Below are 14,913 nucleotides of genomic sequence, written 5' to 3' on the forward strand. Positions count from 1 at the left end.
AGCAGAACTCTCTTTTCAAGGTCAATAGTGGGAGAATGGGGAAGTGATGGTATTTACTTAGAAATCAGGGTTATAAGTATATATATAACATATATGTATATATAACATATATGTATATAACATATATATAACATATATAACATATATATAACATATATATGCATACATGTAATGAATCCTGCATTCTTCAAATTTTTCTAGGGAATATGGGTACTACCTGGTTACTATAATTAAAATCATTTAGCTGTAAAAATTGAACAAGTTAAATAAAAATATTCTTCTCAATGTTTTGCATTGTAAAATATGACTTCTGAAGATAATTATTTGAGAAAAAAATGACATAATTTATTTCCATCTGCATCTATTCTCTGCTTGTATAAGACAGGTGCAAAGACATTAATATTTGGTTGATGAAGTTCTATCAGGTCATATTGAACTTAACAAAAATAAATACTTTCCTTTTTTTTTTTTTTTTTTTGCTCTGTAAGAATAATTAACTATATCATGAGAGTTAACAAATTGTATACCCAGTGGGAACCATTTAAAAAATAACCTTTTCCTTTTTAAATGAAACTTGTTAGGATCTACAATACAGGTTCAAAAAATTGGTAAAGCTAAAAGTCTAACATTAATTTTTAACTTTTTGTTCAAATTCAACTATTTATATTAAAAATATGCCAGGCTTAAGTATTAAAATGTTGCCTCCCTTTAGAATTTCCTAACATAACTTTAAAATATTTTTTGAGACAATTCCTACAGTTTATACAATATTTATACGTTAAGGCAAGAATATTAAAAAGTGAATCACTTTTATTTAACCAGAAGTCAAGCCTCTGGAAGATACACACACACACACACACACACACACACACACACACACACACACCATTTTTTTAAGTGTAAAGAACTAATTTTACCTTCTCCAGTACATTAACTATCACCAGTTGCCAGTACTTGTGATTTGGTTTCCAAATGACATTTCAATAATTAGCAATTTTATGACAATTTTTGTGTATTGATAATAGATTATATAATGTTACTCAAGATTGTGTAGAAAGCACCAGGTACAGTGGCTCGTGCCTGTACTTCCAGCACTTTAGGGGGCCAAGGTGGGCAGATTGCCTGAGCTCAGGAGTTTGGGACCACCCTGGGCAGCACGGTGAAACCTTGTCTCTACTAAAATACAAAAAATTAGTCAGGCATGGTGGTGCTCCTGTAATCCCAGCTATTCAGGAGGCTGAGGCAGGAGAATCGCTTGAGCCTGGGAGGTGGAGGTTGCAGTGAGCCAAGATCGGGCCACTGCACTCCAGCCTGGTCAACAGAGAGAGACTCCGTCTCAGAGAAAAAAAAAAAAAAAAAGATAGTGTAGAAAGCGATTATATACAAATTCATTTTCATGTTTAATTCTGAACTAATTTCAAAATTACAGTGAAATTAAAAGTATGATATAAATACTTTTCTTTTCCTGGACCACTTGGAAAAAGATGAAACGATGTCCATCACCCTAACTATGTTAGTGTGTACTTCCTATGATCAAGAGCATTCTCCTATACATAAGCAATTAAATATTCAAAATCCAAAAATCAGAATATAAACAGATAAGTTATGACCATTGAATCCTCAGACTGCATTCAAGTTTGCCAACTGTCCCAAAATGTCCTTTACAGCAAGATGATTTAGTTCAGAATCAAGCATTACATTTAGATGTCACACTTTGTTAGTCTCCTTAAATCTTGAACAGTTTTTCAATTGTTTCTTCATTTTCATGGCTTAGACACTTTGGAAGATTAAAGATTATTTTGTACAATGTCTTCCAATTAGAGTTTATCTGATGTTTCCTCATGACTAGATTCTATATATGCATCTTTGATAGAGTTATTACAGAAATGATATCGTATTCTCATTATATCATACTGAGGACACAAGATTTTGGTTTGCTTCATTATTGATAATGCTAACTTTGGTCACCAGATTAAGGGGGTGTCTGTCAGACTTCTCTATTAGGGAAATATTTGAGACTATATAACTACAATGCTTTTAATGAGATTGAATTTATTCCTTTATTTATTTATATAATATGTGGATCCATGGTTTCCTATTTAATGGTCTGTTGGTATTATTATTTTGTCATTAAAATTGTTTGCAAATGTGGTCAGTGGGAGAACATTCAAGTTGGCTTCTGTGGCCTTTTGACAATTCTCTTTACTTTCTACCACAAGATCCTCCTGGCCCATCTTGTACTTCTTCTATTGCAGCTGTGGAATCAGCCATTTCTCAAAGTTTCCCTTGTTCCTTTTGTTAGACAATAGTATTAGAAACCAAGATCTGACTGCTGCAGCTACTTACTTCTGTTGAGGTCTTGCTGCTCTCAGGTCTTTTCAGTGAATGAGGCTAATATATGTCTATATGTATATAATATGTACATATTTATATTTGCACACTTACATTGATGTTTATTCTATATTTATCTTTACAAATTGAACACCATGAATTCAAATAAATTAATAACATCCAATTCCAATGCTGTACCACAGAGTGTACTAGTTTTCTTTCCTAACATATTTGCAACTCTCTTCTCCAGCAATAAAAAAACCAACTCTCACTATGTTAAATACATGTACTTATTTTGTCAATTCCCTCTCACTTCACACTCCATTACCCATTGTTATCTCCATTGCTATACCCACAAGATATCTTCATTACTCTGCTCATGATCTGACATCCTACATGAGGCCACCCACATGACAGAAACACTCCTCAACTGTGTCTGGCTGTGACACCCCATACTGGGCTGGCCACCTTGATGCTGGAATTCTCTCTTGACCCAGCTATGCTCTGACATCCAGTGTAGAGTCACTCTTCTATCCTCTCATACAACCCATGTGCCCCCTGTCCTTCACCCTGCTCACTGGCTCTGAAAATGCATGCCAGGCCACCTCTTTTCCCACTTTGGTTGCTCCTCACCCAGTTGGGCTCTGACAACCCACTCTAGATCACCAACAGACCTCCTATCTGCTGGCACAGATGCCCAGCTGCTTGGCTTTACCAAATGGCTTTTTGGATAGAATTGTTCAGGAAAGGAGAAAAAGAGCCTAGCAATAAAAGGAAGTGAAAGAAAGGAAAAGGAAAAGCAAAAGGAAAAGCAAAAGGAAAAGAAAGAAAAGAAGTGCAGTATGAGGAAGAGAAAGTGCCATTCTATCATTCTGTCATTCATTTAAGAGGAACAAAAATAATTAATCCTAACATTTTCACAATGTTAGGAGCCCTGTTTTATCTACTGGATTGGGGCCATCGATAGATAGATACATACATACATATATACACACTGATACACAATAAGAACACTGAGTAAATCAGGGGTAAGAGTACTAGTCAATACTCCTCTCATTTTAGCACACAATAGGATTATATTTCCCTCATTCGCCTTGAAGTTAGGCATAGTTATACAACTTACATTAACAATGAAACGTGAGAAATGACATAAATCACTCTTAGATGGGAGAATTTACTTGCTGATGCTTAAAATCGACAGATAGATTCTCCAAGTATTTTCTTCCTCTGGCACATGAAGATTGTGGAACCAGGTCTTCATATGGTGATGCAATATTGTGACATTTCATGAAGGACAAATTGCCCTGTAGAGTTACCCAAAACTGTAGCTAAATTTCCATGAGGAAGAAGTAAATAAAGCTTTGTTCTTTAAGCTCCTGAATGTCTGGGCTGTCCATTACTGAAGCACAACCTAGTCTATCCTTATTAATTACAAGGAGTTATCCAGCCTTCAGTATTGTTTAATGGTGGCATTCTGATTAAGATAAGTGAAAGTATAGGTTGGAGCATTTATTTCATAAATCCAGATCTACTTTTCGCATGGACTTGTCCTGTATGTTATTTCCCTAGAAAATCATATAATTTCTTGTTTAAACACTTCATATATCATTTCTCAAATGTGGCACTTTCCTTTAAAGTTATCACAATCAGTGTCTGATCCACAGAAATTTAAGAACATTTATGACACAAAGCACTAATTCTTGAAGAATAATGGAAAGACTGACTTTTGTGTAGAATTACAAAGGATTATCTAAGTGGCAGAGAAACACATTTTAAAACTTCCTGCAGATGCTGTTCCTAAATCATTAAAAATAGTTCAGAATTAGGAAAGATTTATTTTGAGTAAGAGAAAATGTGTTTCAGTGTCCAACAAATAATAGGTACTAAGTAGGCTTTGAAGTACAAATTTCTCATAAAACATGTTTCAGTGTCCACTAATAGGTACTAAATAGGCTTTGAAGTATAAATTTCACATAATTATACCAGCTTTTATAAATGTTATTAACAGAGGTAAATAGCAGCAGAGACAAATAGCATTGACAGAGTTTCTTTTATGGCTTCCATGTTTTACAATAATGTATTATATATTTCAAAATAGCTGGAAGAGAGGATTCTCTATGCCCTTGCTAAAAGAAATGATAAATGTCTGAGGTGATAGATATGCTAATTATCTTGATTTGATTATTACACAATTTATCCATATATTGATACATCACACTGCACCCTATATATACAATTATTACACGTCAATTAAAACAGAACTATATTGTTTTGAATTAATGCCCTTATGATTTACTATATAAACATCTATAACTTTCCAGCATGACTTGCTTATAATGCAACCACTAAACTTAATTAAAAATTATTGAAGCCCTACCCTTTCAAACTCAGTGGATGATACATATCAAAGAGCAATCACAAATTTCTGCCTTTAAAACATTTCATGACCTTTCCGTGTGAAGCATCATGTCTACAGGAATAATGATCTGGTGAGTTCTGCAAGCATGGCAAAATCCTTGCCATGTGACTCGGGGTGGGGTGAAAAGTCATTCATTAGTAGTCACACAGCAAGTGTCTGCAGAGTATAATGAATTTACAGGAAGCAGGGTGACCACAGATCTAATTTTAATGAAGCCCAAGGCAAAATCTGAGCTGATAGAGTTTAAAGCCTTCATACAATCTTCACGAGGTTAGAGTCATTGTTTGACAACACAAGAAATATAATTTTCTTTGTAAAAGGTTGTATTTTTCAATAGATACACTTTTTTTTTGGAGCAAAGAGTTAAATATATATTAAGGTGGTAGGAAAAAGTTTTTGAACACTATAAAGAAAATTCTAAAATTTCACACAGGTTGGCTTTTCTGTGTGTAAAATGTTTTACGCATGTAACACTCATGTGCAAAGGCCAAGGTAATTATAGGTGTGCACAGTTGTTACACACACAGATAGCAAATTTGACTAGGAACACTATGTTTCTATCACTAAAATACTTCATGAACAGAAAAATAGAAAAAGTATAGGCAACACAAAACTCCCCCCAAATCGATAATTTGGGGAAAACATAAAATGTTATGCTTATTACAAATAGAAATAATTATTTATCAGTGCTAAATGTGAACAAAGAGTCATTTAGCTTGATAATGTTTAAATAACATACACTTATATTCTTGAGAAAGAACATGCCTTAATATGAACAAACTTGATTTACTTTTATGCTTTTCTCACTCTTGTGTTATTTTTCAGAAAGACAAGATTAAGTATGACATTATATTACCCAGTCACACAGAAGCCAAATTAGCATTTGGATATCATCTTGAGAGACAATTACCAAGAGCCTTGTATTTCTTGGCAATAAAGCTTGCAAGTGAGGTCTGAATATGTGACAAACATGCTTTATTCACCCTATAGGGTGAAGAGATTTAGGAGCAACATATTTTAAAAATGAACAAAATTTACATATGAGATTTCTGGACCTCGGAGCCTATGTTCAAGAAACTCAAAGAAACTGAAAATTGCAATTTTTGGTCGAACAGTAGCTATTCTTGTGATTTTAAATAAACTTTATGATTGGATATATATACTTATTTATGAGAAGGTAGAATATGATTTTCAAAAGATAAAACTGACTTCTGAAATTCAGAAAAAAACAATGAAACATCTGAAATTTTGGGAGCCATTTTCAGACCTTCTTAAAGGCCTAACACTTTGGTTTACAAAGAACTCTAATGACTGGAAGGGTGGGAAAAAGCAAAATGAGTTCACTTTTAAAAAGTCTTTCTCCTTTGTTAGAGATCCATTTTCAAGATTAATTTTGGGGGACAGAATCAAATTGCTCAACACATCAACAGATATTAAATCTTGGATGGCTGAATTTCTGGTTGTTGACTTTCATAGAATATCATCTTTTCCAGGCTACACAAAAAAGATGCACACTAACTTTTGAAACGAACCTAGATGGCGTCTGAAGCTGGCGACTCACCTTCTTCACCCGCATAGGCCAGAATGGATCGTGCTCGTATCTGTTTCCCTTCTGTCGTTTTCCCTGAGCAGGTGTGTGAGCAGGAGGACCACGTAGACCATGTGCTGAGCACACAGTCTTTCGGGCATGGGGCATCACAGGCCACAGGGATGGGGAAGATGGCATCTCTGCACAGCTGTCTGTCAACTTCTTCTCCTGGGGAAAACATGACCACCAACAGCTATTATTGTTAAATTAATGTAAAATGAGCAATTTAAACCAGATGGGCACCCAGATAAGTTACATTATCTTTCTTTTGCTCTTACTTAAAAAAACGTAGCCAAAAGAGGGATTGCCTACTATAGCCAGATGTTAATAGAACACCAGGAACAAGCATATATACACACATATACACTCATGACCCTAAATGAGGCTTCTTTCATTATCAGGGTATATCAAGCACATTGCTGAGACGATTCTTATGCCACAGACACCTGCCCATTAAGTACTAATTTTTATACTTGTACTCTTAAGTTGTAATAAGGAGCATCAACAAAGCATGTCCCCTCTTTCTTTTTTGGAGATGAGCTATGATTTACAAATAATGACTCTATCCATAGCATCTATCATATGTTTTCATGAACCAACTAATAGGTGTCTATTTACAAACTCTCTTGTGTCTCTCAGAGTAGTTATTTTCATACAATTGGCAACCTTCTTCTTTCGTAAAAAATTGTTTGTTAGTTGGAAATAGACAGGAAATGTAAATGATGGGATAACATTATAAAGTCACTGCTTAAGGTGATCCCAGTTGGAGAGGGAGGGAAACAATAGAAAACAAACAAATGGCAGAAGTAATGTGATGTCACTCCAGTGCTTAATATTTTTCATTAGTTCCCTGTTGCTCTTAAGATAAAGGGCAGATTTTTCAAGTTTACAAGACCTCGACCTCAAATGACCTCGCTGTGTTTCTCTTCCTAGCCTCATCTCACTTCACTCCCTCATTTTGCCCTTGACACTCTAGAGATTGGCCCAAAAATGGACACTTATTTAATATTTGCTGAATGCGTGAAATGAGATATATAAAAGGCCAATGAGAAACAAAACATTGTTGCTGTTAATAAATGCCAAAAACAACCAACAGAATAACCAAAACAGGGTAGGAGAAAAAGTCTGAACTCTATGGTTTAGTTGATTAATATAGGTGGTTAACGAGGTCAAGGGAACAGAACAGAATGAAATCATACACAATCAAACAAAAATTAACCTGCTATTTTGGCACAGAATATAATCATAATTCTGGGTGAATATATAAAAAGTGTGTGCCTCGCATTAGGCATTCAGGTGAGAAAGGGTGACTCACCTTGCCATTCCTTACAGAGGCTACTGAACAAAATAGTCCAAGCTGTTTCTCACTTGGGGAGTTAGGAGCATCATTTTAATGTACACTCCTTTATTCATATGCTTTAAAAACAAGACAGAAAATCAGAGTAAATTGCAAATGCTCTAATATGTTAATAGCTACTAGCTTGCAGAGCCTTTAATCATGAGACAAAAATCAGAAGTCAATTGGAATGCACCTACGTGTTAATAGCCATTACATTGCAAGGCCTTAAATCATTAGACTTACTCACTAGTAAGTAAAGAAGGCTCATTAAAATTGCAATTGAGTAAATATTTTATTATTCATTCTTATTTAGCTACTCTAATCTGTGGGAGCTCTCAAATTTTGTTTTTATTGGTGTTGGGTTTTGGCATGTATCCCAATTAAAAAAATGTACTAAACAGATAGTAGATATATAGGTACATAGGTAGAGTATGAAAATCATTATTGTATAAGGCATTTAATATTTTACACTTGACATAATAATGATGACTCTTTTTTCTACTAGGCTTTTTCTTAGTGCAAGGGGTGCTCTCTTATATCTTATTTTCTTCACTGCTGTCTTTTATTGTACCATCTACCTTCTCTCACTTTTGTTTCCAATATTCTGTGGAAAGCAAGAAAAGTTTGGGGCTAAAGTCTATAGCTAACAAACGTCATATTTTTATTTATCCTCTAATAGTTACCTAATCTTTTCTATTCAGAAAAATATTTATTCTGTGGCAATGCAGACTTTGCTACAAGGGTGCCATTAGATTAGCTTGCCTAGCGTAAGTAATGCATTTTTGTTTGTTGTCATGTAAACCAAAGAAATGTGCAATTTTGACCTTTCTTCTAAGTTATGCTTTTTTCCGCACTCCCCCTGCCCCCCATCCGCCCAGTTTGTGTCCCATATCTTATTTTAGCTCTTTTTCAATCATCTTGTTCTGCTTGGCCAGGTGTACTTTCCTGTAGGATCACTCCTTCTACCACCCTTAATCCTCTGTGGAGCTATTAAGACCCATCTAAGATCCAACATCTGAGATTTCCCTGATGGTTTTAGAATGATTTCTGTACCATCCCCAACCCTTCCAGGTATGATCTTGTCCCTTTTTACTGTTCTGATCACTGTCTCACATTTAGGTTGAAGCTTTATGTTCTGGCCATAATGACTTTTTTCCCTTTCCTCCTGCAAACGAAGCCCATTGTTGTCTCAGCAGTTTTGCACTTTCTCTTCACTTTGTATGAAAATTTCAGGTCTTACACAGAATCCTGTTTTTCAACATTCAGGTTTCAGTTCAATTTTCTCCTTCCTAGAGGAGATTTCATTGACCATACACACTCTCCCAGTCACTTCAGTTTATTTTCATTATACTTTTAATCACCACTAGAAACTATTTTAATTAATTGGTTAATATGTTTATTGTCTGACTATCACTAGACTAAATGAGGGTGTTATCCGTATCTGTCTTGGTTGCTACTTCATACTTAGAACCTAGAATAGTGCCCGACACGTAGGAAGCACTAAATCATTTTTTGTTAAATAAATACATAAATTTTAAGTTGTGCTAGGAAATAGAATGTTGGTCTAGACAAATAGAGATCTAAGCACAGTATTTCTTGTCATGCATTCGAGTGCTCTAGGGCCTCCCGAAAGTGTATTTAGTGGATAGCAGCACATGCATCCCCTGGAGTTTGCTGGAAATGCAGCCTCTCAGACTCAACCCACTGAATCACAACCTTAATTTTTTTTTTTTTTTTTTTTTTTTTTTTTTTGTGGAGACGGAGTCTCACTCTGTTGCCCAGGCTGCAACGCAGTGGTGAGATCTTGGCTTACTGCAACCTCCACCTCCCAGGGTCAAGCGATTCTCCTGCCTCAGCCTCCCATGTAGCTGGGACTACAGGCATGCACCACCATGCCCGGCTCATTTTTGTATTTTTAGCAGAGAAGGGGTTTCACCATACTGGCCAGGCTGGTCTCGAACTCCTGACCTCATGATCTGCCTGCCTCAGCCTCCCAAAGTGCTGGGATTACAGGCATGAGCCACCGCACCCAGACTCAACCTTCATTCTTAAAAGATCCCCAGGTAATTTCTATGCATATCAAATCTAAGAAACAATGCTCTAGAATTTTTCTCCATTTATTGTCTTCTGGTTTGATTAGAACCAGATTGTCTCTTGACAGGCAGGTATGTAAAACAAATTCATCTGGACTTCATACCTAATAGCATTTGCTTCTCTGTGGAGATTCTCCTTATACTTCTCTTCACACAGAGTATCCATGGCTGAAAACATTTATTCAATGAATAGTTGCTGAATGCCCATCTTCTGTCAGGCACTATGCTAAGAATGTATGAATGTTGTATACATCACCTCAGCTAATTCTCACAATAACCTTTTGACATCAGTATTACTATCTATTTTTTACTTTAAAAGAAATTGAGACTCAAAAAGGTTAAGTTATCTTTCTCAAATAGCAAAAGTTTGACTAAAGGAACAGAGAATTGAAATGAGTTTTCACCAATACCCCAATCTGCTTTTGAACTAGATTGGGGTTCTTCTTGGTGGAGAACTGAGGATGCCAAGGCAGTAAATAATAGATAAGGCTTTGCCTCCAAAGAAGTCAAGAAACAGGCACTCTCAAGTTGTTTGTCAACACAGTGATGCATGTTGCCAGCCACACAGTGCTTCAAATACAAAGACATGCATTGTTGATGAGTCCAGTGGGACATGTTTTGGCTCATAGCCATTGAACAAACAGCAACTGATCTATGAGAATATGGAATAATTAAATTTTTGATTTTGCTTTCAATGAATGCTTTAATCAACTCAGCTAATTGGAACCCTTAGGAGCTGTCTTCTTTTTAAGCTAAATCTTCAGCATTCCAGGCATAAGTCATCTGGGAAACCATAGGCAAATAAAATCAAATAAAAAGTTGGGTCAATGGCTATTACAGGCAACTTCATAACTTGTCAATTCCAGCCACTTTTTGAGGCTATTAATTTTATCTTACTTATAAGGTTAATTGAATCTTACTTATAAGAACTTACTCTACTCTTAAGGTCTTACAAGAGTAGCAGAAAATAATTTCATCCCTCTTCCTCACATTAAATTTTGTTTTGGATTGATACACTTTATTTTGATTGGATAAGAACTGTTTTGCATAACATTACTTCAGAGTATATATAGGAGTACATTAAACACGCACATATCTAAATATCAGGTTAATTTATACTCCTCTATTTGGAGAAATGGAAGTTTTGCTGCCTAGCACTATGGGAATTCCACTTTTTCATATCAGCAGCCCCACAGTTAGGACATATTCATCCACCAGATGTCCCCACTATAGAACTATTTGAGACTTTGATTATCCAAGTGTGCATCCCATTAAATCTGGACAGACACATCTGATTATCACTACTGTGATTTGTGTAGTTCTATCACTGGTGTAGGTATGAACCAACGCAACTTGTTTTTCTTCTTTAGTCTCTCTGAGGACAATTTCTTAGCTAGATTTTGACTGTGATGTCACAAACATTTAGAATCCTCCTTATGCTTCTCTTCGTGTATTCATATTAAATATACTATCTTTTTTGGCATACATTTACAAACATAAATGGTTTCAAAGGATTGCTTTGCATTTATATAACTTTGTTTTTCTCACCCACAAAGGTCTAGGCATTATAAACAAACCTGCCAAAATACAGAACATTTATAAAACAGACTAAATGAACCATTGTCTACATTTTACAATTTACACCTTACTTTGAGGCCTTAACTGAAGCATATACTATTTAAACTTATTTGGAATACCCTACGAAAGAGGTTGAGATATAAAATGAAAATGCTTTGGTTTATTTTTGTAAACTCAAAATGAGATTTAAATGTTTATATTTGTATTCCTCCATTTATCTTTCTTCAAAAATGTAATTTTAAGAAAATGTTTTCATAATCCACTATTCTAATAAACTTAAACATGTATTTTGACATTTTAAAGTCACCCCTAAACGTTCCCTTGTTTGGTCTATTTTCATGAATGCCACCACACTCTCATGAGCTCTCCTAAACTATTCCTTTTTATTCGACTGTATCTCTTATTATCAGGATAAGAGACTAAAACATCTGCTCAAGATAATTACTATAAAAATTCATGAAGACTACCATAGAAACACAAAATGAGAACTGAGATCAGTGGATAGTCTTTTTCCTTGGTAAAAGTATATACTGAAAGTTTATTGCATTTATCGTGTTAGAGCCTAAATAAAACATAAAAGATAAACCATGGTTTATCAAGGTTTTTATAGTTTCAATGTTTCTTTGGTTTAGCAATTGAGCAAGAATGCAAAAATTAATACATTAAACATACAATCAATTGTATTTTAATGCAAAATATACACATATTTGTATTAGTCCATTTTCATGCTGCTAATCAAGATATACCCAAGACTGGGTAATTTATAAAGAAAAAGAGGTTTAATGGACTTACAGTTCCACATGGCTGGAAAGGCCTCACAATCATGGTAGAAGACAGAGAAGAAGGAAAGGCATGCCTTACATGGTGGCAGGCAAGAGAGCTTGTGCAGGGGAACTCCCATTGAAAAAAACTACCAGATCTCATGAGAATTATTCACTACCATGAGAACATCATGGGGGAGACCGACACCATTATTTAATTATCTCCACCTGGCCCCACCCTTGACACGTGGGGATTATTACAATTCAAGGTGAGATTTGGGTGGGGACACAGCAAAACTATGTCAATGTTCTGCCTATTCTCTAAACGCCTCTTGAGTTATCCTGATTTTTTTTTAAATCATAGAAATGTGCAACTTTTATGGTTGATTTTAACAGTCACAACAGTGCTATGTGCAAAGCACCTCCCCTGTAAAATTGCAACTCACAACATAATGGAATTGTAAGCAGAAAGGAGAAATTGAAGCAGAGAGGGACCAGACACAGAGCCAAGATTAAAAAGCACATTATTTAGAGAGATCCCAGGATTGTAATTTTGAGATTAGATTTCTCTTGCCAGATCTATACAAAATCCGGAGTAACTCCGATAATTATTACTGAGTTTTTGATATGTTTTGTGTTCTTCAGAAATTATCTTAAAAATTCACATTGACTTTTGAGAGTGATAGTCTTTATATATTTATTTATTGATAACCAATAAAAGTTTACAAAAGAATTAAAGAGGGAAAAAATGGAGTCTCATATTTGCATGGACCTTTCTAGAAAACATTTTCATATAACCATCTTATCTGAACTCTCTAACAACCATAAGGTATGTAGGTCCAGAATCACCCTCAGCTTACTGAAGAAGACCCATGAACTGAGACTTATGCCTCATTCTTCACTCCCCTTCTCAAAATGAAGCTACATATTGCTTCATTTTAAATAGAAAGTTTCCAAGTCAATTTTAATCCCTGCATTATTTTTGCTACCATATCCAGGTAGTGAGCCTGATTTTACAAATCTCGAATCCATTTTCTCTTCCAAATCTTTGCACACTTTCCCCTGGGATTCTGTTGTATCTCATTTCCCTTGTATCCCAAGGGTCTGTTTCTAAAATCTAAGTCTGAATACTATAGTCTCTCCAATATATATTAGCTGAAAACCAACTTCCTCACTAGAACAAAGAAAATAGAAATCTTCTGTCATTGCCTCACGTTTTCTCTACATTCTATCCACAGAAAGCTTTCATTTTTCCATGAACTGACATGCTGCTTTTTCACTCCTCTGCCATTTTGCAAACACTGTTCTTCATGCCTGGTGTCCCCATCTCTCGCTGTCTTCCTTTAGGACTCGGTTTTCTTCCTCTGTGAACATTATTTGACTTTCTCAAATGCCCCAGATGGAGTTGTGCTCTGCCCTGTCTGCTCCCATAGCATTGCAGACATGTCACTTTTAAAACTTTTTCTCATTCCCTGTTCACTCACCTTTACTTCCATTAGCCTATGAGAACCTTCTGGCCAGAGAGTTTGTCTTATTCAGTATCTTTTAGTCCTTGGTGTAGTCACTGTTATTTTAGAGTTTCACAGTAAATATTTGTTGGATGAGGGGAAAAAGTGAACCTAAAATGCCAGAACCTATATTGCTTTTCTGCAAAAGAAAAAAGCACTGGTGTTTATACATTTCTAATTGTTGGCTTACTAGAACCTAACCAAGAAGGCCTTGAAATTCACTTCAGCTTGATTAAGCATTAGGCAGATTTCTTCCTGGCTATAGGCCCCTGACCTCTTTTTTCTTAAAGGACTTATTTTAGGAAACTTGCAATTGTAATTCTTTCTCTGCCCCTTTGTAATGTATGTAAATCTTCTCCCAGCCTCTTGCCAGTTTTGCAAACCAGGAATTATCTTTCTCAAGGAAATAGGAACTGGGTCTTTGAAATTTTAACATTGAGGGAAATAGTGCTCTGAGCTCCCAGTCTCTGTAGGAGGGCAGGTACCTAACTTCTATAGGCATTAATTGGCAAACACAGATGGACTAATCATAGAGAAAAGCATTTGCAAACTCAGGAATAACCCAATGTGCTTGGCATATCCCACTGTTCACCCCACCCCCTAACGTCCTCTAGCACTTTTTCCACTAGGTCACTCCAGTATTTAAAAATATTACTGCAAGAGTTGAGTTCAATCTTCTCCTGTTTTAATAATCTCAAATACACTTTTCTTTGCTAGTTTAGCTTTGTCTGGTACAACTTTAACAAACCCTTGATATTCAATTTATAATGATATATTATCTTTAGGTTTCTCTTTTTTCCCCCACATATATATTTACCTATTGATTTTTAAATATCTTTAAGAAACCTGGGAGTCTTCACAGTATGATACAATTATTTTCAGGGATTTCATTTTCAAAACCCTTTTTATTCACAATAAGTTTGCCTATGTTTCCACTATGCTCTCTTCCCTGTCACTTTTTAAAATCTCAAGTTTCTGTTCATATATTTATGTTCATATTTTTCCTTCATGACCCTAGCAAAATGAATAGGTGATGCTGGGGTAAAAGGCTGTCTTCCTTCTTCTGATAGCACCCACTTTCCAGCCCAGGCTTTGTTGTAATCAATAATATCACATTTGACTTCATTCCGGAGATAGAACCCATTTTAACAAAGTGCAGTAAATAACATGACCTTTAAATACATGATGAAAATTTAGGGCTAAATCCAATCATAACTTTGCATTTTCTTATTTCATTGAATTTAACCCACCCATGATATAAGTTGCCCACTTAGTAAGCAGGGCATTAGGCAAACA

The 14,913-nt window shown here is 35.4% G+C and overlaps 1 protein-coding gene across 6 annotated transcripts in view; it reads right to left on the reverse strand.

The window, feature by feature from the left end:
* The window catches only part of THSD7A (thrombospondin type 1 domain containing 7A), a 461,834-nt gene that overhangs the window by 105,112 nt on the left and 341,809 nt on the right, over positions 1 to 14,913 (reverse strand). For all 6 annotated transcript variants that reach the window (XM_006715662.2, XM_006715660.2, XM_006715659.2 and 3 more), the window contains one exon: positions 6,312 to 6,506. In XM_006715662.2, the coding sequence (XP_006715725.1) occupies positions 6,312 to 6,506 (195 nt within the window). The remainder of the gene's footprint in view (positions 1 to 6,311; positions 6,507 to 14,913) is intronic.

Source organism: Homo sapiens, chromosome 7 (assembly GCF_000001405.40).
Source record: "Homo sapiens chromosome 7, GRCh38.p14 Primary Assembly".
Taxonomy (NCBI): domain Eukaryota; kingdom Metazoa; phylum Chordata; class Mammalia; order Primates; family Hominidae; genus Homo; species Homo sapiens.